Genomic DNA, 20,372 nt, shown 5'->3' with positions numbered 1-20,372 from the left:
CTCCTGCCTCAGCCTCCCGTGTAGTTGGGACTACAGACGCCCGCCACCAAGCCTGGCTACTTTTTGTATTTTTAGTAGAGACGGCGTTTCACCTTGTCAGCCAGGATGGTCTTGATCTCTTGACCTCGTGATCCGCCCGCTTCAGCCTGCCTCACCTCATTCTTTAAGGGAGCTACTAGATCCCCACAAAGTTATTTGTGGCTACTGCATCTGCTCTATAGTGTGTGTTCTGGGGCAAGCCTAGGATAGAAGAAATAGGTAAGAGGTTAAAGGATCTCTAACACACTGTTTCTTGCGGTGTTTTTCATTATTGTCCCCTCTTAAGGAGACTTTTGACTTTTTTTCCTAATTGTTCATCATCCTCAATGATATTTTGATACCACAAATTAAACTATGTATCTGTTTACATGTAACAAACAATTTAAAAAAAAATTTTTTTCTTTAAGAGCCAATTTTTAACCCCTTGAGAACAAAAATGCACACTTTAACAATTTGGCTCTTAAGTTTATTTCTCATTATTTAAATAAGCAGAGTCTAGAACATACATGCTTTAGGGAGAAAGAGTATAGATTAACTTCTGATAGCTTCCTTTAGTTGCCCTAAGGATTACCACGAGGGAAAATAAAAGAGAAATAAAACCGCGGGGGTGTTACATTTAATAAACATGGGGATTAAATTACATTATTGTCCTATGTAAAGATAAGACTAGTGGAGTGTTGGTTATGGTTATATTATTACATTCATGTTCCACTTCCAATTTACATCTAGGGTTCTCTAGAACAGAAGTTCTCAAACATTTTGATCTCATGACTCTTTACTCTCTTAAAAATTACTGAGGATCCCAAAGAGTTGTTTATGTGAGTTACAACTACTGACATTCACCATATTCAAAACAAAAACTGAGACTTTTACTTACTTATAAACAAGTTTAAAATAACAATAAACCCATCACATTACCATAAATAAGATATTTTTAATAAAAATGCATTTTCTGAAAAAAGTGAAAAGAGAGGCATTGTTTTACATTTTTCAAATCTCTTCAATGCCTGACAAGAGAAAAGAGCAGGTTTCTCCTATCAGTTTATGCACTTAATTTGCTGCAATACCACACATCATGTAAACTTTGGAAAACTCCACTGTACACGACTGAAAGGTGGCAAATAATGTCTTACAGTTTTGACCTTCTAAACCCGCTGAGGAGCCTTTGATGAATGTGAAATACTCTTTAAAACTTCTAAGTTATTAAAATGTATTTTAAGGTTTTGTGTAGAAATGGTAGACTGGACACATTCACTTTGCACCTTACTCTCCTCTCCCCAAACCTCACTGAAACTACAGTAATTTTTTTTAAAGTGGCATAAATCCATAAGAATAGGAACATGGGAATGGAACAAAAAGAAATAAAATCTTAAAAGCTGGAAAGCATATGTAAGACTGACACTCCAAGAAAAGTGACTCCTAAATAGGCTTTAGGTAAAAACAACAACAAGAACAAACAAACAAACAAAACCCACTAACTCTGCATAATCACCAAAGGGCTCAGGAACTGGGAGCACTAGATGCCTCTGAAAATGGGGAGGGGGGGGTGAAAGTGGGGCTAAAAATGAGATAACTGGTTGAAAAGTCTATTTTAGGAGTTAAGCCTCCCTGATTTCCTCCTCACTCTCCACACCTAGAAAACCCAAGCGAGGTACTGCCACTCTTCCTCAGTAAAGAAGTTTAAAAAGAGGTGTTTGGACACAGTCAAGGAAAAGTATCTTACTTTTCAGGGCAATAAGTCAACTTTACATACTCCCTATAGACAGCAAGCCCCTTTTTTCCAACTCACTGCCTGAACTTCCAGGTCCCTAGCTGAGTCTTTTTCTGGGAAATCAAAAAGAAAAGACCCAATATTCTGACACCAAGCCTTCATCAGGGACTGAAACAAACTAGACCCCCTTATTTGTGAAAATCACAACAAATGTCATACATGAACTTGGAGCTCTCAATCACCTTTTTAGCAGTATACCCTTAAATATGGTATTTAAAGACCAGTAGACATTTTTAAAAAGCTTCTAATGTTGAGAGAAATCAAAACAAGGGGGAAAAAAAAAGCAACTTTGAATAAAGAGAAATCATGCAGGAAGAAAGTAAAATTTCAAGAAACTATCACTGATATTCTTCGATATGTGAGAAAACATATTACATCTACGAACAAAAACACCATGTTATAAGAAATAGTTAAGGGAAAAAAGACTAATAAAAATTATGGATAGGAGAAAAAAGATTTTAAAATTTAAAGAATAATGCTAGAGGTCCCATAATAAATAACAGGAGTTCCAGGAAGTCAGAATAGAGAAATTGAGGGGAATAAAGAAAATATTTAATTCAAATTAATTTTCTAGAACCTAAGAACATGAATTTTAGGAATGAAAAGACCCACTGAATGTCCAGCACAATTACTGAAAATAGAACTGTACCAAAGTACTTTCTCATAAAATTTTAGAGCTCAAAAACAAAGAGAGGATCAAAATAAGATTGGTGGGGGAAGAGGCAGCAGACTTCTCAACTGCAACACTGGAGCAAAAAGAAAATGAAGCACTGCATTAAAAGCTATGGGGAAACTATTTATATCCAACGATTGTAACTATTAAAATAGAAAAGTCATTTTCGGACATACGTGGTCTAAAATTTTTTACCTTCTAGGCACATTTTTTCAGGATGTTACTGAAGAAAGAATTTCACCAAAATGAAAAATAAACCAGGAAAGGAGTCAGAATGATACACAGAAAAAAGGGAGCTCTAACATGAGAGAGATGAATGCAAGTAAGATTCCAAGAAGACAGTTGTGCAATGGGCCTGGAAAATAATTATAGCATATTAGATGGATTTTGGATAAATTTCTTCAAGATGAAATTGATAGATAACCTAATGTGCTTGAATAAGCTTAGAGGAGATTTAAACAATTGAGGGAGAATTTGGATTGAATTGGTGATAAACACACAGAAAATTAAGCTAAGAAAAAAATACAATAATTTACGTCTGGAGAAACTGGACTCACCAATTAGAAAATGCACATTCTTCACAAACACAAGTAAAACAGTTACAAAAACTGAACACAAACTAGGCCACGTAGACAGTCACATGAAATAAAGAATATGTTTCACATTTTTTATATTTTTTTCACATTTTTCCACATTCTTTGAATAAAACGCAATAAAGTTAAACACTTAACAAAAGAATACCCTAACAAAGAAAACTACAAACTTGAAATTTTAAACTGTACTTCTCAGTCAGGGGTAAAAGAAACCATAATAGAAATCAGAGAATACTTAGACTTGAATTACAGCAAAAACACAACCTATCAAAATTCGTAGGATGCAGCTAAAGCAATCTTAAGAGGGACAGTTTTAGATGCAAATGTTTATACTGTCACTTCTGTTACAGCTTAAAAAAGTACATATATACACATTTGTTCTGACACAACATTAGCAAAACAAGAATTTCTCATTTGCTTATGTACTATTTTTTGGTGGGAAACATTAGGTGAAAGCAGACAACTGTACCCAAATGAACTGAGCTGTTAGAATACGCAAAATGCACATGCGCACGCAAATCAAAGATGTACCAGCTACCTTAGTTCACCATGAGTGTTATTAGCGATACCCATTCACAAGTGGTGTTACAACTTTCTATCCAATTTCAGAGAACTCTCCTCCTGCTAATTCACATTAACTCACAAACTACATCCCTTTCGACACCCACTTTCCTTCTGGTGCCCACTTCTGCAAAGAAACTTCAGATCTTTTTCAAGGTAAACTACCTATGTATTTAACTACTTAATAGGTATAAAACTGTGCTACTGTTTCAATAAGGTTCTGCGTGTGTGATGACGTTTTTGCATGCTGTGTCTCTAAGTACACTTTTTCGGTAAGCCCCGTGATCTTTAATGTGCAATTTTGCATGACAAAGTGATTGTTAGGAATTCATATATTGTAATAAAACAAAACTGGCTGCATTTAAAAAGAGAAAATAAAGAATAGCCAAAGAGAATATTATTGGGACAAATGGAGAAATTTAAATATATATTGTAATTAGATAATAGTGGTGTGTCAATATTACATTTCCTGAGTGTGATGATTGTGTTGTGAGTATACAGAAAAATGTATTTGGCCTTAGGAGATAAACGCTTAAAGTATATAAGGGGGGCAATGTCATAATACTGGCTAACTCTTAAAGGATTCAGAAAATAAAATGTGAGATAAAGCAAATATGGCAAAATGTGAATGAAGGGGGAATCTCGGTGAAAGCTATGTGGGTATTCATGGTACTATTCTTTTAACTTTTCTGTTATGAAGAGTTTGAAAAGCAAAGTACTGAGGGTGGGAAGTGTGGTAGATTGAATTCTTCACCTCTCCTTGTTTCCCTGTCCTTTGTCACATGACTTTGGAGTACTTATCATAATGGTAGAAAATATTTTCCTAACCATGTGACCTGTTCTGACCAAGAGAATGGGGCAGAAGTGATAGTAGGACAGCTGTAAGTTTAAGCATCTTGTTTTCTTTTATGCTTCTGCCCTCACAATGAGAAGATACGTCCAGATTAGCTTGCTGTCCCCAGCAGGGTAATGAGAGGTAGATGTCATCCTGTTGCTCCAGTTGAGTCCAACCTGTATCAGGTAACAGCCAATCTGAAACATATCTATCAGTCCAGCCAAGATCAACAGATACTTAGCCAGACCTCAGATGAGTGAGCGATAATGCTTACATTAAATGCTACTAAGGTTTTAGTGGTTTATTATGCAAAATTTGGCGAAAATAACTAAGTAGCCAACTTAAATTGGACAAAGAACAGGATAAACTCAGAGTATAAAAACGTAAAAGTAATAAAACTGAGATGAGAAATAAATGACATAGAAAATAAAGACACAGATTGTGGTGAGGATGTTTAAAAAAATAAGAAAACACACAGAGAGGGTCAACAAAACTAAACCTAGTCATCTGGCAAAGCTGGTCAAGAAAAAAAGAGAAGGCACAAATCAACAGTATTGGAAATGAGAAAGGAACCATAACTACAAGAGCAATAAAGATGTTTTAAAATCAAAATATATTGAATAATATTATTTGAAATAAGATTATTAAGAATCATCTTATCTGAAAATAACTTAAAAATCTGAATAAAATGGGAATGGTTAGAACATTACTAAAATGTTCTAACATTTTAAAATGGTCTCACAAAGAAATAGAAAAAAATAGTCCTTTACCTATTAAGAAACTAAATCCAGGTTAAGAAAAAAAAATAATTATCATACAATTTTTATAGAAAAGTCCAGCAAGCAGGCTGGGCATGGTGGCTTATGTCTGTAATACCAGCACTTGGGGAAGCCAAGGTGGGAGGATAATTTGAGGCCAGGGGTTCGAGACCAGCCAGAGCAACATAGCAAGACCTCATCTCTACCAATAATTTAAAAAATTAGCCAGGTGTAGTGGCACATGTCTGTAGTCCCAGCTACTTGGGAGGCTAAAGCTGGAGGATCGCTCGAGCCCAGGAGTTTGAGGTTGCAGTGAGCTATGATCTTGCCACTGCACTACAGCCTGAAGACAGAGAGAGATATCATGTCTGGGGCCAGTGGAGAGCGGGAAAAAACCCCAGCAAACAATTCTTTAGGAAACAGATAATCTCTTTATTACAGAAGCTTTTGGATGAAAGGAAGAGTGGGAAAATTCACTAATTCATTGTTTGAGGGTACTATAAACTTGAGATTAAAACTGGGTACATACGGTATGAGAAAGGAAAAAAATCACAGGCCAATCTCAGACATACACAGCGATTTAAAAATCCTAAATGTGGCCAGGCGCAGTGGTTCACGCCTGTAATCCCAGCACTTTGCGAGGCTGAGGCAGGGAGACTGCCTGAGGTCAGGTGTTCGAGACCAGCCTGGCCAACATGGTGAAACCCAGTCTCTACTAAAAATACAAAAATTAGCTGGGCATGGTGGAAGGCGCCTGTAATCCCAGCTATTCGGGAGGCTGAGGCAGGAGAATCGCTTGAACCCAGGAGGCGGAGGTTGCAGTGAGGCAAGATCGTGCCATTGCACTCCAGCCTGGGCGATAAGAGCGAGACTTAGTATCAAAAAAAAAAAAAAAAAAAAAAAAAATCCTAAATGTTACCAACCAAATCCTACAATAAACTTTAAATTAAAAAAAAATTTTTGAAACAATCACAAAGTTACAGAAAAGTTGGCGATACAGTACAAAGACATTTTTTTCCTAAGCTATTTGGTAGTTAGTGGCCAACCTAATGCCTCACTACCTTCAAAGAGTATGTATTTCCTACAAACAAGTACATTCTCCCACATAACCACAGTATGACCACCAGAATCAGGCAATAAACACTGATACATTACTATTATTTAATCTGCAGACATTATTCACGTATGCCAAATTATCCCAATGACGTTTTATAGAAAAAGATACAGTAGTAGTACAGTTTGCATTTGTCATGTCCCTTCAGTCTCCTTAAATCCTAAGTAACACTTGAAAGACTCTTTCAGGACCCTGGCACCATTGGAGATTATTATAGGCCACCTATTTTGTAGAATATCCCTCAATTTGGCTTTAGTATTTTCTCTTGATTAGATTTAGGCTACGCATTTTTAGTGAGAACAGCACAGAAGTAATGGTCATTTCTTCTCATTATATCCTATCAGGTGGTACACATTATGGATGATGTTCATTTTGATCCCTTGATTAAAGTAGTGTCTGCCCTCCTCACTCTGCTTAGGCTTTGACTCGGCATGCTGGAACTAGGCGGCTCTCTAGGTAGTTGTCCCTTCCTGTTCTGCTTAGGCTCTCACATACTATGCCAGGCTGCCCCTATGCCTGCTCACCCTGCTCTGGCTCTGACTCCCCATACCAGGTAGCTCCTTCCCCACCCATGGATGCCTAACTCATCTCACCTGGGCCCTAAATCCCCACACACAGCCACCCCAGTCACCTCCCTATGGTGCCCTCCTTATCTTGAGTGGGGTCTGATGCCTTCCCCCAACATGATGCTACTACTCAATCTGGGCTTTGACATTCCACTCTGGGCCATTGCAGCACCCCACCCCCCCTTGCAGATACATACCTTGCTTTGACCCACATAATGGCTTCAGGACTGAATTATTCAGGAAGGGAAGAGAAACGGTTGCAATATACATTTTAAATGTATTTTGGGCCTAGTAGGTGTTATCCTAGAAACGTGAGGATAATTTAAAGTTAGGAAAATCGCTCAGCACAGTGGCTCACACTTGTAATCCCAGCACTTTGGTAGGCTGAGGCGGGTGGATCACTTAAGCTCAGAAGTCCAAGATCAGCATGGGCAACACGGCAAAACCCTGTCTCTACTAAAAATACAAAAAGTTAGCCAGATATGGTGACATGTGCCTGTAGTCCCAGCTACTCTGGGGTGCTGAGGTGGGAGGATCACCTTAACCTTGGAGGTCAAGGTTGCAGTGAGCCATGATCATGCCACTGCACTCCAGCCTGGCCAACACAGTGAGCCCTGTCTCACTTTAAAAAAAAAAAAAAAAAAAAAGGAAAATATATTAATGTAATTCACTCTAATAACAGATTTTAAGGGGGGAAATTATATGATTACCTCAAAACCATTAAAAAGATATGCAGTAGTCCCCTATTTATTCATGGGGGATAAATTCCAAGACTCAGTGGATGCCTGAAACCCTGGATAGTAGTGAACTCTACATATACTATTTTATCCCTATATATACATATACCTAAGATAGTTTAATTTGTAAATTAGGCACAGTAAGAGATTAACAAAAATAATAAAATAGAACAATTAACAATATTCTGTATTAATGAAAGTTATGTGAATGTGGTCTCTTTCTCTCCCCCCTTACTGTATGTAATACTTTTGTACCAGGGTAACTAAAACCACAGAAAACAAAATCATGGATGGGGCGGGGGGAAGGGGAAATATTGTAATCAAAATGCAACTTGAGGTAAAGAAGAATCAGTATCTCTTTACGACAAGGAACAGAAGGAAAGCTCTTTAATGTGATAGAGGGTATCCAGAAAAACCCATAGCAAACTACATTCTGGGAGTATGAAATGTTAGAAGCATTTCCCTTTAAAGTCAGAAAACAAAACAAAAATGCCTATCACTGCTTCTATTCAAAACTGTAGGGCTAATCAGCACAATCTGAAAAAGAAATAAAAGCAGTAAGAACCAGAAAGATAAAATAAAAATGTCACCATTGCAGACAATGCACACGTAAGAACTTCAAGAGAATTCAGTATAGTAGTTAGATATAAGATCCATACACAAAATCAACTGCAATTCTATTTTTTTAAAAAAGCAGTTAGAAACTATAATTTTTAAAAAGATAACATTCACAGTAACAAAACTCGTGAAGTACCTAGGAATGAATCTAACAAAGTATTTATAAGATCTTTTCAAAAAAAAGTATAAAACTTTATTTAAAGAATAAAAGGAAGGGTGCATAAATGGAAATACCACATACATAGATAGTGGAAGACAAGTTAAAGATGACAATATGAGCCATATTTAAAAAGTCAAAGCAATGCCAATGAAATTCTCCATAGGATTATTTACAGAATTTGACATGTTGATTCTAAAAATCATTCAAAAGGCCAAATCAATTTTGAAGAGCCAGGTTTTTGAATTTGGAAGATTATCTGCCCTAATCAGATAGCAAGACTTATCCCAAAGCTATAGAAATTAAGACAGTGTGATTTTGTTATAGACATAGATGACAGAAATGAAAGAGCTTTAAAACAGAATTACATATATGTGAGAGCATGGTATATAAAAAAGCCCCATCAGAAACCAGTGAGGAAAGTACAGACTATTCCATAAATAACCTGAAACAACCATTTAAACAGGAAAGAAAAATTATAACTATTCCCAGCATATAACAAAACTATATCCTATATGGACAAGTAACTGAATGTGAAAAGCAATACTTTAAAACTTTAGGATGAGGCTGGGTGTGGTGGCTCATGCCTGTAACCCTAGTACTTTGGGAGGCTGAGGTGGGCGGATCACTTGAGGTCGGGGGTTCAAGACCAGCCTGACCAACATGGAGAAACCTCGTCTCTACTAAAATACAAAAACTAGCTGGGTGTGGTGGTGCATGCCTGTAATCCCAGCCACTCGGGAAGCTGAGGCAGGAGAATCGCTTGAACCCGGGAGGCGGAGGTTGCGGTGAGCCGAGATCATGCCATTGCACTCCAGCCTGGGCAACAAGAGCAAAACTCCGTTACAAAGAAAAAAATAAAACAACAACAACAAACTTTAGGATGAAAACATAGGAGAACATCTTAAGACCTTAGGGCAAAGAAGGTTTTCTTAAGACAGAAAATACACATCATAATGGAAGATAATAATAACTGCAGATACAATAGAATTAAAAACTTCTGTTCAACAAAACCCCATAGAAAATCAAATAAAAGGCTACAAACTGGGAAGACATTTTGTATCTCATATTCGCAAATAATACATAGTGCCATATGCATAATACAAAATTCATAATATAAATATAAGTCTACCTCGGAATCTCAGGGTTGAGATTGGTCCACCACCATTTTTACTTCTGAGTATGTTGCCTTTATATCATCTCTCTCCCAAATTGTGAGAATTCAGGAGAATCTCTTACTTGTGATGAAATCCAATAATCTTATTTCCACATTGTTCTGGTTGAGACACTTGTTTCCCCATATCTCAGGCTACCATCCCTGGCAAACGGCCCAGTGCAGTAGTTATTTCAGTAGCAGTTTAGCATTTTCAAAGAAAATCAATTATGAATTTAACATGATTCACATTCCCATATATACTCAATGCTAGGATGTGAAATAACCATTCACAAAACTGAGTTTCTGATAGCTTTGAATCCCTAAATAATCTCCAATATGGATGCTATAACACAATCTCCAGACTTTCTGAGAATTCTAAAACTTCTGGCTCCAGGGCCTACTCTCTTTGTAGCATTCTGATGGCACGAACCAATCATAATCCCAAAACCTCCCTATTCCCTAGCCTGACATGGTGTGGCCCATAATTTCTCTGTTCTTGCATATTCTTTGCTATAAACTAGGCTTACAGAAGCAACCACATTGATGCCTTGGCACAAAGGGTTTCAATCTTGGAAAAACACGAGCATGTTTGATGCTAACCTAATTGCTAAGAAACCTGACTTTAATGGGAGCAGAGATTTTTTTTTTAAATGTCTAGTACATAACATAGAAAGGGAATGTTTTTAGGTTTCATCCACTGAATTAATTCTCATAATGCTATGTAACTGTTTCTCCGTATAAAACACTCTGAAAAGGACAATTCTGACTTCAGCTTAGTCTCCACAGTATTTCTGGCTTTGAACTTACTTTCCAAAAACACTAACACAGTATGTCTGTTTGATCTGTACCTTTACATTGTGACTCCCATAGTCAAGCAGTCATAATGAAGGTAAATACATGGCTCAAATCTGAAGTGAAGACTTTAGCCCAACATATAGCTAAATATCATGTGGGAGGTCCAAAATTCTTAAGAGTAAACCCCCTTATACAGAATATAACCCCTAGTAACTTCAGAGACCTACAAGCCCAGGATGTACATAATTAGATTCAAAGAAGCAGAGTCTAGCTGCCATAAATAATTATAGCACGAGCCTCAATCTCAACTTGCTGGGGATAAGCCAGAAAGGCTGCCACAGTCTACTGTGTATGTCTATCATGGGCCAGTTGGCACACACAATACATCCTTACTTCAGAACATGAAATACAATGGTAGGAAACCCAGCTTTAAAGGTGATTGATTCCTTTAATTTCTATATTCTCTAGTAACTGCTCTGAATAGAAATAAAATTAAACAGAAATAGGTTTTCCCTTAGTCATTTATACTCATTGTATAAGTGACTTTTTGATGAAAAAGAAATTAAAAACATTTTCCTAGAAACAAATGTTAATATAGGCTGAACCAGAGGGCATGTGATCCATTCTCAGCGCAGGAAATGGTACTGAGACAACTGAATATCTACATGCATAAAAATGAAATGAGATGCTTACCTTGCATCATACACAAAACCCAAAATGGACCATACTTAAATGAAGAACTAAACCTATAAAACTTCTTGAAGAGTTCTTCGAACACCAAACATGATCTATTTTTATAAAGTTCATAAATTGGACTTCAATTCATCAAAATAAAAAATTTCTGCACTTCAAAAGACCCCATTAAAAAATGAAAAGCCAAGCCATAGGCTGAGAAAAAAATGTTTATAAATGATACATCTAACAAAGGGCTCATATCCAGAATACATAAAGAACTACTACAACTCTAATAAAAAGACAACCTGGTTTTTTAAAATGGGCAAAAGATTTAAATGGACAGTTCACCAAAGAAGATAAATGGCTGAAAATGCACATGAAAAGATTTTCAATATTATTAGCCATTAGGGAAATACGAATTTAACTATGAGAAACCACATCCACTAGAATGGCTATAATTTTAAAAAGACAATATCAAGTGTTGGTGAGTATACAGAGAAACTGTAACTCTCATGCATTGCTAAGGAGAATGTAAAATGGCACAGTCACTTTGGATAGTCAGTTTCTTAAAAAGTTAAACATAAATTTACTATTCAAACCAGCAATTCAACTCCTAGCAATCCACCCAAAACGAATATAAGCTTGTTGGCCAAAAGAAAAGTATATGACTGTTCACAGCAACACTATTTATAACTGCCTAAAACTAGGAACAAGCCAAATGTCCATCAATGGTTTGAATGGATAAGCAAAATGTAATAAATCCATATGGCTGAATATTTTTCAACAATAAAAAGGAATGAAATATTTGATAGCTTTTATCCCATTTAGTAAGAATATTCATGTATTCTGCTGTGTTTATGAGACGCAACCCAAGGACCCTTTGAAGTTATTGTGTAATACAATATATGCACCATATTCTTTTTTGAACGAAGAACATTTCTGAATTCTGATTCACATCTGGCTCAGTTTCAGATAAAGATTGCAAAGTTCACAGAGAATAACTTCCCCAAGTCTAATATATTTAAGTACTTCGTATCTTATAAAACCTATTTTAAGTCTCATCCATTTCCCAACTACAAAGCAGTTCTAATGTTAATATTTTCTAAAATGACTAACATGGAACACATAAACATGCAATGGGCCGGGCGTGGCTCCTCAGGCCTGTAATCCCAGCACTTTGGGAGGCCCAGGCGGGCGGATCACGAGGTGAGGAGATCAAGACTATCCTAGCTAACACAGTGAAACCCTGTCTCTACTAAAAATACAAAAAATTAGCCAGGTGTGGTGGCGGACGCCTGTAGTCCCAGCTACTCGGGAGGCTAAGGCAGGAGAATGGTGTGAACCCGGGAGGCGGAGGTTGCAGTGAGCTGAGGTCACGCCACTGCACTCCAGCCTGGGTGACAGATCGAGACTCCATCTCAAAAAATAAATAAATAAATAAATAAATAAATAAATAAATAAAATAAACATGCAATGGTGACTTGGTTATGTCAGGATTTAAATTTTAAGCTAATTGGTGTCATCTGTTACACAGATCTCTAGCTATCTGAATTTTCTCTCCAACTTATCAAATTTATAGAATCAATTTGAAACTGATGAAAAAGAAAATACCAATCAGTATCTATTAAACATTGCTTAAAACAGCAATGATTCAAATCATATTACTTTTATCTTCAGGAAAAATTAACTACATTTCAGAGAGACCTGTTCTTAAGATACATAAATATTCTTAAAATAGAAATGATCTGAAAATCCCTTTAACTGTAGCAACTTCATAACCCAGAATCAAAGACTGAAAACACCTACTGTTGAAAGCTAGAAATGAATGTACTTCTTTCAACTAAAACAGATACTTCTTAGATAAAAAATTGAAACTAACTCAGGCTCTAATGAATGCTTTTTTTTTTTTTTTTTTTTTTTGAAACAGCGAGTCTCACTCTGTTGCTCAGGCTGGAGTGCAGTGGCATGACCTCCGCCTCTGGGGTTCAAGCAATTCTCCTGCCTCAGCCTCCCAAGCAGCTAGGCTTACAGGCATCTGCCACCAGGCTCAGCTAATTTTTTTTTATTTTTAGTAGAGACGGAGTTTCACCCTGTTGGCCAGACTGGTCTCGAACTCCCGACCTCAGGTAATCCACCCGCCTTGGCCTCCCAAAGTGCTGGGATTACAGGTGTGAGCTACTGTGCCCAGCCTTACTTAATGCTTTAAAAAAAAAAAAAAAAACCCAAATGTTAAAAATCTGATATTCTCAAATTGTACTCAGGTTTCAAAAACATTTATGGTACTACCTAACCTACTGCAATTAAATGAAATACTAAATTTTCTGCTATGGGATAGATTTCCAGAAGAGCAACTGCTAGAATATAGCAAACAGATATGCTATTTTACTAACACATTTACTGGCCAGGTTTATTTTACTGGCCACATTGCTTTCCCAAAAGGTTGTTTTCTCATGTCCACCAAAGTTTGAGAGTGCCTTTCTCTGTATTACCTCTAGCAAGAAGTCATATACAGCCTATTAAATTCTACAGTTTCTCTAATTTGCACTTCTTTAACTAATAATGAATCTGACCTCCTTTCTCATTTGTTGGACATTTGGATTTGTTTTGTCTGTTGCTCTATCACACTGATGGTCTCTTTTCTTGTCACACTGCAAGAATTTAATATATTACAGAAATTTACCTTTTGTTCATCAACAGTTTTAGAAATAATTTTCTGGATCTATTGTTTTCCCTGTTGGCTTTGTTATTTTTACCATAAAAATTCATTTTTATATTATGAAATATGTCCGTCTTTTTATGCTTTCTGGGAATAATACAAAGACTAGAAAGTCTTCATTAGGAAGGACTAAATACGCAGTCTCTCAGATTATCTTTCAAGATTTTGTGTGTGTGTCATGAACACAAGCAGTCTTTGCTTTTGCACAGTTCTGAAATACACAGGTACCAGCCATCACAGTATAAATAACAGTCCCCAACAACCTGGTTCAACACTTAGTTACCACAGTATATCAACTTTGAGTAAGTGCATAGCTTCTGAATGCTTGGTCCACAAATCACTAAGTAAATAAGAGATGTGCATCATGATCAGTAAGCAATCACATAACTTTTCCCAAAATTTGACAGCAACTGGTTACTGGGCACCTATTTGTTATTCAGTATATGCATGAACAGCAAAGTGTGTAACTGTGTTGCCTTCCTGTCTCCCAGTGATACACTGATTTGACATTTTACAAAAGTAAACAGTCAAAAGAGGGGACTGACCAACAAAAATGAAAGTGTAGCAAGGAAACAAAAAGTGGCAATGCTGAAAGTGGAATTGGAAACTGGTTATGACCAAAAGATGAAGATATCCCAGAGGAAAAAAACATCACATTAAAGGAAGTCTCTGAAATACTTCATGACTTTGGAAATGCAAAGTACTATATAAAATGTTGAAAACTAATACAAATTTAGAAAAGAAAATGACAATTTGGCAAGGCACAGAAGAGATGCTTGTTCCATATCTTAAGTTATACAATTAGAAGGCAAGCATCATTGAAAGTATTCTTGATAAGCTTTTTACAAATAGAAACATCCTAATTCTCAATTTTTTTTTCTTTTTGTTTTTTTTTTTTTGAGACGGAGTCTCACTCTGCTGCCCAGGCTGGAGTGCAGTGGTGCTATCTCGGCTCACTGCAACCTCCACCTCCTGGGTTCAAGTGATTCTCCTGCCTCAGCCTCCTGGTTAGCAAGGATTACAGGCTTGTGCCACCATGCCCGGCTAATTTTTGTATTTTCAGTAGAGACGGGGTTTCCCCACGTTGGCCAGGCTGGTCTCGAACTCCTGACCTCAGGTGATCCACCTGCCTCAGCCTCCCAAAGGGCTAAAATTACAGATGTGAGCCACCACGCCCTGCCTAGTTCTCAATTTTTCTAATGTTTCAAATTTTTAGATAATTTTAAATATTTTCTATTTTTTGTATTTTTAGTGTATTAATTCTTTTCCATTTCCCAATACATTTGTGACCAGTCATGGGTGTTTTTAATAGTTTAATGAAAATTTTAACGGTCACAGGAAAACTATAAGATTTCCAACAGATAAAGTATTAAAATTGCTTTGCAGTTTCAGCTCTCATCATTTCTGCAACACCTCAAGGTGCACCACGCAAATGAAGGAGTGCCTGTATTTAAATCTTTATCTAAAAAACAATTTTGTATGTGATAGGACGGTCCATTTTTATCTTTGGACAGCCAGTTGATACCAAATCCTCTTATTAAACTTTTCCCATTGAATTTAACACTATGTTGTTATATACTAATTTCCCAATTTGTACCAGAATTTTTTCACTCTCTACTTGTTCTACTAATATACTTTTCTGTTCCTTAAATGTTTACATATTGCTATAATCTAAAATGCGAAAAGGCAAATCCTCCTTTTACTATCTTTTGCACAGTTATTTTAATCTATTCTTCAACATTTTACTTTGTCTTAAACTACTAACACTATGTTAAATAAAAATAGTACTAACAGGGATGCCTATCTGTAACCTGTTTACAATGGAGATTTTTGTGATTTTATCATTTAAAATTATGTCCTATTACTTTCTAAAACTTAGTCCTTATTACATTTAGATAATTTCCCTCTATTCCCATTTTACAGAGTTTTTACTGGGAATGGTGATTTTATCGAAGGCCATTTGTAGCATCTACTGAATACAGGTTTTTTTTTTTCAAATGAGCTTTTCAATTTAATATAGTATATAGACATTTTCAGGTACAGAACCAGCACTGAATTCCTGCAATACCATCTGTTTTGTTATAAGGATTTTTCGCATATATTGCTGGATTCTATTTCCTAATATTTTATTTAAACTTTTGCATATATATTCTGTCACATGTGAAATTGGCCTACAGTTTTCTTTTTAAACACTATTTGTTAGGTTTTGATATTACTTTGTAAAATAAATTTGGAAGCTTTTATTTATGGCCTATAACAGTTTTAACAATAGAACTTGTAACCATTCAGACTTTTCTTGATTCAATTTCAGTAGTTTGTATTTTAAATGGAAATCCACCATTTCTTGTTGTTTTCAAATTTGGTGCTACAGAGCAGCAAACTTAGTTCCTCCCCCCTAGATCCATGGTTGTCTCCTTATTCCTGATTTTGCCTACTTCTGCTCTCTCTTTTTTCACTTGGTCAGATGTGCAAGTTAAACTTACTTATGAATTTACTCTTTTTCAAAGAATTCATTTATTTTTAATTCTATTTATTTCTGCTTCATTAATTTGAACTTTTTTTTCTAATTTTACATAAATATTAAATTTCATTTTTCACTCTTTAAATTAAAAAGTGCTTGTAAACAGCATTTTTATGTCTAAGAGTGAACTCAAATTATTCACATTTAATTTTATTCCTTCTATATTTATCATTTAATCTCCCCTTTCTTTTCCCTATTTGTGCTACCAAGTTTGTTTTTATTCTGTTTTCCACACTTACTTAGAAGTTCTAAATTCATTCTGATAGCTGTGCCTTTTCTAGACATACGACATGAAAAAGTTTCCACACTGAATTTCCCGTGCTCCAATTCTCCCTAGTTATCCACCTAAAGGATGAGCCCTTTAGGTTGGTTAGTTTATTTCCTCTGTTCTTGTTTTTCCTCTTCCTCCATTAGACCTTTAAGATGTTTTATCTCCCTCTTCTATCTCTCCTCATCTTAGTTCCTAGATTTCATTAAGATAAATTAGTACAGGCTGAGTATCCTTTATCCAAAATGCTTGGGATCAGAAGTGTTTCAGATTTTTTCAAATTCTGGAATATCTGCATACACATTAATGGGATATCTTCAGTATGAGACCCAAGTCTAAACATAAAATTCATTTATGTTTCATGTAAACTCTACACTTAGCCTGAAAGTAATTTTATATAATGTTTTTAAATAACTTTGTGCATGAAACAAAGGTTGTGCACACTGAGCTGTCTTATTACCCTCGGAGGGCGTGCTTGTGTGGGAATCTGAGTATGCACGTGCAGAAAAGATACATTACAGTTGAAGGGCGCAGGTTGTTTTTTCCCTTGGGGACACTGAATAAACTGTGTTGCGCCTGCATTTTTCTTTTTTTTTTTTGGAAGGTCTCTCACTTTGTCACCCAGGCTGGAGTGCAGTGGTGCCATCTTGGCTCACTCCAGCCTCAACCTCTCAGGCTCAAGCAATCCTCCCACCTCAGCCTCCCAAGTAGCTGGAACTACAGGTGTGCCACTGCCTGGCTAATTTTTGAATTTTTGATAGAAATGTTTTTCGTCATATTCCCCAGGCTGGTCTCAAACTCCTGAGCTCAAGCGATCTGTCTGCCTCCGCCTCCCAAAGTGCTAGGATTGCAGGAATACCACCATACCCAGCTGTGTGACCTGTTACATAAGCTCAGGTACGTTTTCCCCTTGTGGCATAATGTCGGTGTTCAAAAACTTTAAGATTTTGGAGCATTTCTAATTTAGGGTTCTTAGATTAGGGAAGCTCAACCTGTACTTAAAATTACCCTCATCCCAGATACTTGGAGGCTAGGGCAGGAGAACTGCTTGAGCCCAAAGGTGGAGGCTGCAGTGAGCCGAGTTGCCATTGCACTCCAGCTGGGACAACAGGAATGAAACCCTGTCTTTAGAAAATAACTTCCTCATATTTAATGTTTTTTGCTTCAAGATTCTTCATATAACAGTAATTGAACACATTCCTGGTCAAATCTATTCCTTATCCATTAAGATCCCTGGAAATCCAGCCCACTGAAATAAAAGTACCAGTATATGTGAACTTAAAATACAGGGACGTGCAATGCAATACTGTTCCTGATGGTCAAGATCTCACAAAAAAGTAAACGTTCATCAGTAGAGAATTAATGAATAAACTGTGATACAGTTACTATAAGATTCTCATGGAAACATTCACATGAGCCATTATTTATTTAATAATTAAATGCAACGAAGTATATAATTCCATTTTTGAAAAATCAGAACTGAAAAAGGCATTGTCTATATGTGTGGATGTATCTATGTCTGTGTACAGAATTACAGGATCTTTAAAAAATTACGGAAGGGCACAAACCTAAGTGAATAAGGGTTTCCTAGAGGGGTCTGGGTATGTGGAAGAGTGTCCATGATAAAAAACGTAAAATCGTCCTTTTTGTGAAAAATTACAGTGTATATTGGAATGTACAACATGCATGGAAGCACAATAACTGACTTATCCATGATGGAATTCTAAGAAACTTACCAAAAAAGTTATTTTCGCTAGGGTTAAAAAAAAAAAACCACCCTCACCCTAAAAAGTGCATCTAGATTTATATTCACTTTTTAAAGTAACAGAATTGTTCCAGTAGCTCTAGAAAGACTGTTGAGATATTTAATTGGACCTTCTTACATACAGCAAAATTTCCAATGAGAAACTGCAACTCATTCTCTGATAAATCAATCCGTAAACCATAAAAACAAAGTTCTATGTTAAAAGCATTTTCTTCCCCGGTCTGTTGTTTTGCCTTTTGTGGTTCCCACTATAAAGACATTATAAATGTTTTTGTAGTCAAATCTGTCAGTGAATCTTTAATCATTTCTAAGTTTGTGTTACCCTTAGAAAGGCTTCCCCATCACAAAGCAAATGTTTATGAGAAACAAATTCTCAAACCTCCCCAGTATCAGGCACATAAAGATTAAAAGTGCCAGGCATGGTGGCTCACACCTGTAATCCCAGCACTTTGGGAGGCCAAGGGGGGTGGATCATCTGAGGTCAGGAGGTCGAGACCAGCCTGGCCAACATGGTGAAACTCTGTCTCTACTAAAATACAAAAATTAGCTGGGTGTGGTGGGCACTCCTGCAACCCCAGCTACTTGGGAGGCTGAGCCAGAATCGCTTGAACCCGGGAAGCGGATGTTGCAGTGAGTCGAGCTTGCACCACTGCACTCCAGCCTGGGTGACAGAGCAAGACTCCGTCTCAAAATAAATAAATAAAATAAAAGCAACAAGGAGACATGATTGTAATTATAAATTATAAAGCTTCAAAAACAAGTGTTGTAGAATGTTTATCACTGCACTTTTGGAGGTCAATTTGGGAATGCAAAACTTTACATAGGCATACTCTCTGAACCAAAAATTCTGGTTCCAGAAAACAATTCTAACCAACTATTGCCACATACATGTAAAGACACTGATATTAATATAAGGGTATCTTGACACAAACTCTAACCAAACATTGTTAACAATCTAAGTGTCACTAATAGAAGACTGTTTAATAAAAGCTTGTCCAACCCGTGGCCTAGGATGACTCTGAATGTGGCCCAACAGAAATTTGTAAATTTTCTTAAAATTATGAGTTTTTTGTGATTTTTTTTTTTAAGCTCATCAGCTATCATTAGTATTAGTGGATTTTATGTGTGGCTCAAGACAATTCTTCTAGTGTGGGCCTGGGAAGCCAAAACATTGAACACTTCTGGTTTAACACATTATAGAATGTCCATACTATGAAACATTACATTTAAGGATGTAGTAGCTTTGAATACACTGATATGGAATCATGACCAAGATTTATCATTAGGTTAAAAAAAAAGTATGGTACACAATATTATGTATTATATGATCCCACTATTTAAATATAAACATATAAGTACAAATGAATTATATTTGTGTGAATGCATAGGAAAATGTCTAATATACTCAGTTTTGTAAACAGCTACCTCTGAAGAGTGGAACAATTTAAGGAAGATATTTGTATTGCTTCATTTTTAAAGAAAAATGTTACTTTTATAACTTCAGAAGAAACAGTAAAGAAAAAATGCAAAAAGACTATCAATACTATGTACCAGAGAGATAGCTTCAAAGATGTTTATTAACTATTTAAATGTTCCTTTGGAGAAATTTTTCTCCAGTCTTCTTGAAAATACATATCCTGGGAGGCTGAGGTGGGCAAATCACCTGAGGTCAGGAGTTCCAGACCAGCCTGGCCAACATGATAAAATCTCATCTCTACTAAAAATACAAAAATTAGCTGGGTGTGGTGGCACGCACCTGTAGTCCCAGCTACGCAAGAGGCTGAGGCAGGAGAATCACTTGAACCCGGGAGGCAGAGGTTGCAGTGAGCCAAGATTGCGCCACTGCACTCCAGCCTGGGCGACAGAGCAAGACTCCGTCTCAAAAATAAATAAATAAATAAATAAAAGTATAAAATAAAAAATGAAAATACATATTCACTGGCCTAACAACTCCATTTCCTGATAAATTTCCCTGTAAGCAAGCATAGGTAATCTTCACTGCTTTAATAACTTAAAAATCTCCTAGGATCTTTCTTAACAATATTCACTTCTAA

The 20,372-nt window shown here is 36.4% G+C and overlaps 1 protein-coding gene across 8 annotated transcripts in view, besides 1 other annotated feature; it reads right to left on the bottom strand.

The window, feature by feature from the left end:
* Positions 1–20,372, bottom strand: part of ZNF292 (zinc finger protein 292) — a 110,379-nt gene that overhangs the window by 55,253 nt on the left and 34,754 nt on the right. For 5 of the 8 annotated variants that reach the window (XM_017010578.3, XM_047418456.1, XM_047418457.1 and 2 more), the window contains exon 1: positions 93–18,313. The exons of the other annotated variants lie outside the window; for them this stretch is intronic. The gene's annotated coding sequence lies outside the window, so the exon portion shown is untranslated. Of the gene's footprint in view, positions 1–92; positions 18,314–20,372 lie in introns of those variants that run through there. 8 annotated transcript variants of the gene reach the window in all.
* Positions 25–579: an enhancer, noted in NCBI's record as "NANOG-H3K27ac-H3K4me1 hESC enhancer chr6:87919830-87920384 (GRCh37/hg19 assembly coordinates)". NCBI's record gives its function as "activates a minimal SCP1, AML or CMV promoter by ChIP-STARR-seq in naive H9 embryonic stem cells {active_cell/tissue: H9 hESC(naive)}" and the evidence as "EXISTENCE:reporter gene assay evidence [ECO:0000049][PMID:30033119]".

Source organism: Homo sapiens, chromosome 6 (assembly GCF_000001405.40).
Source record: "Homo sapiens chromosome 6, GRCh38.p14 Primary Assembly".
Lineage (NCBI taxonomy): Eukaryota > Metazoa > Chordata > Mammalia > Primates > Hominidae > Homo > Homo sapiens.
The sequence above is the reverse complement of the archived record's forward strand: the minus strand, read 5'-3'. Positions and strand labels throughout refer to the sequence as shown.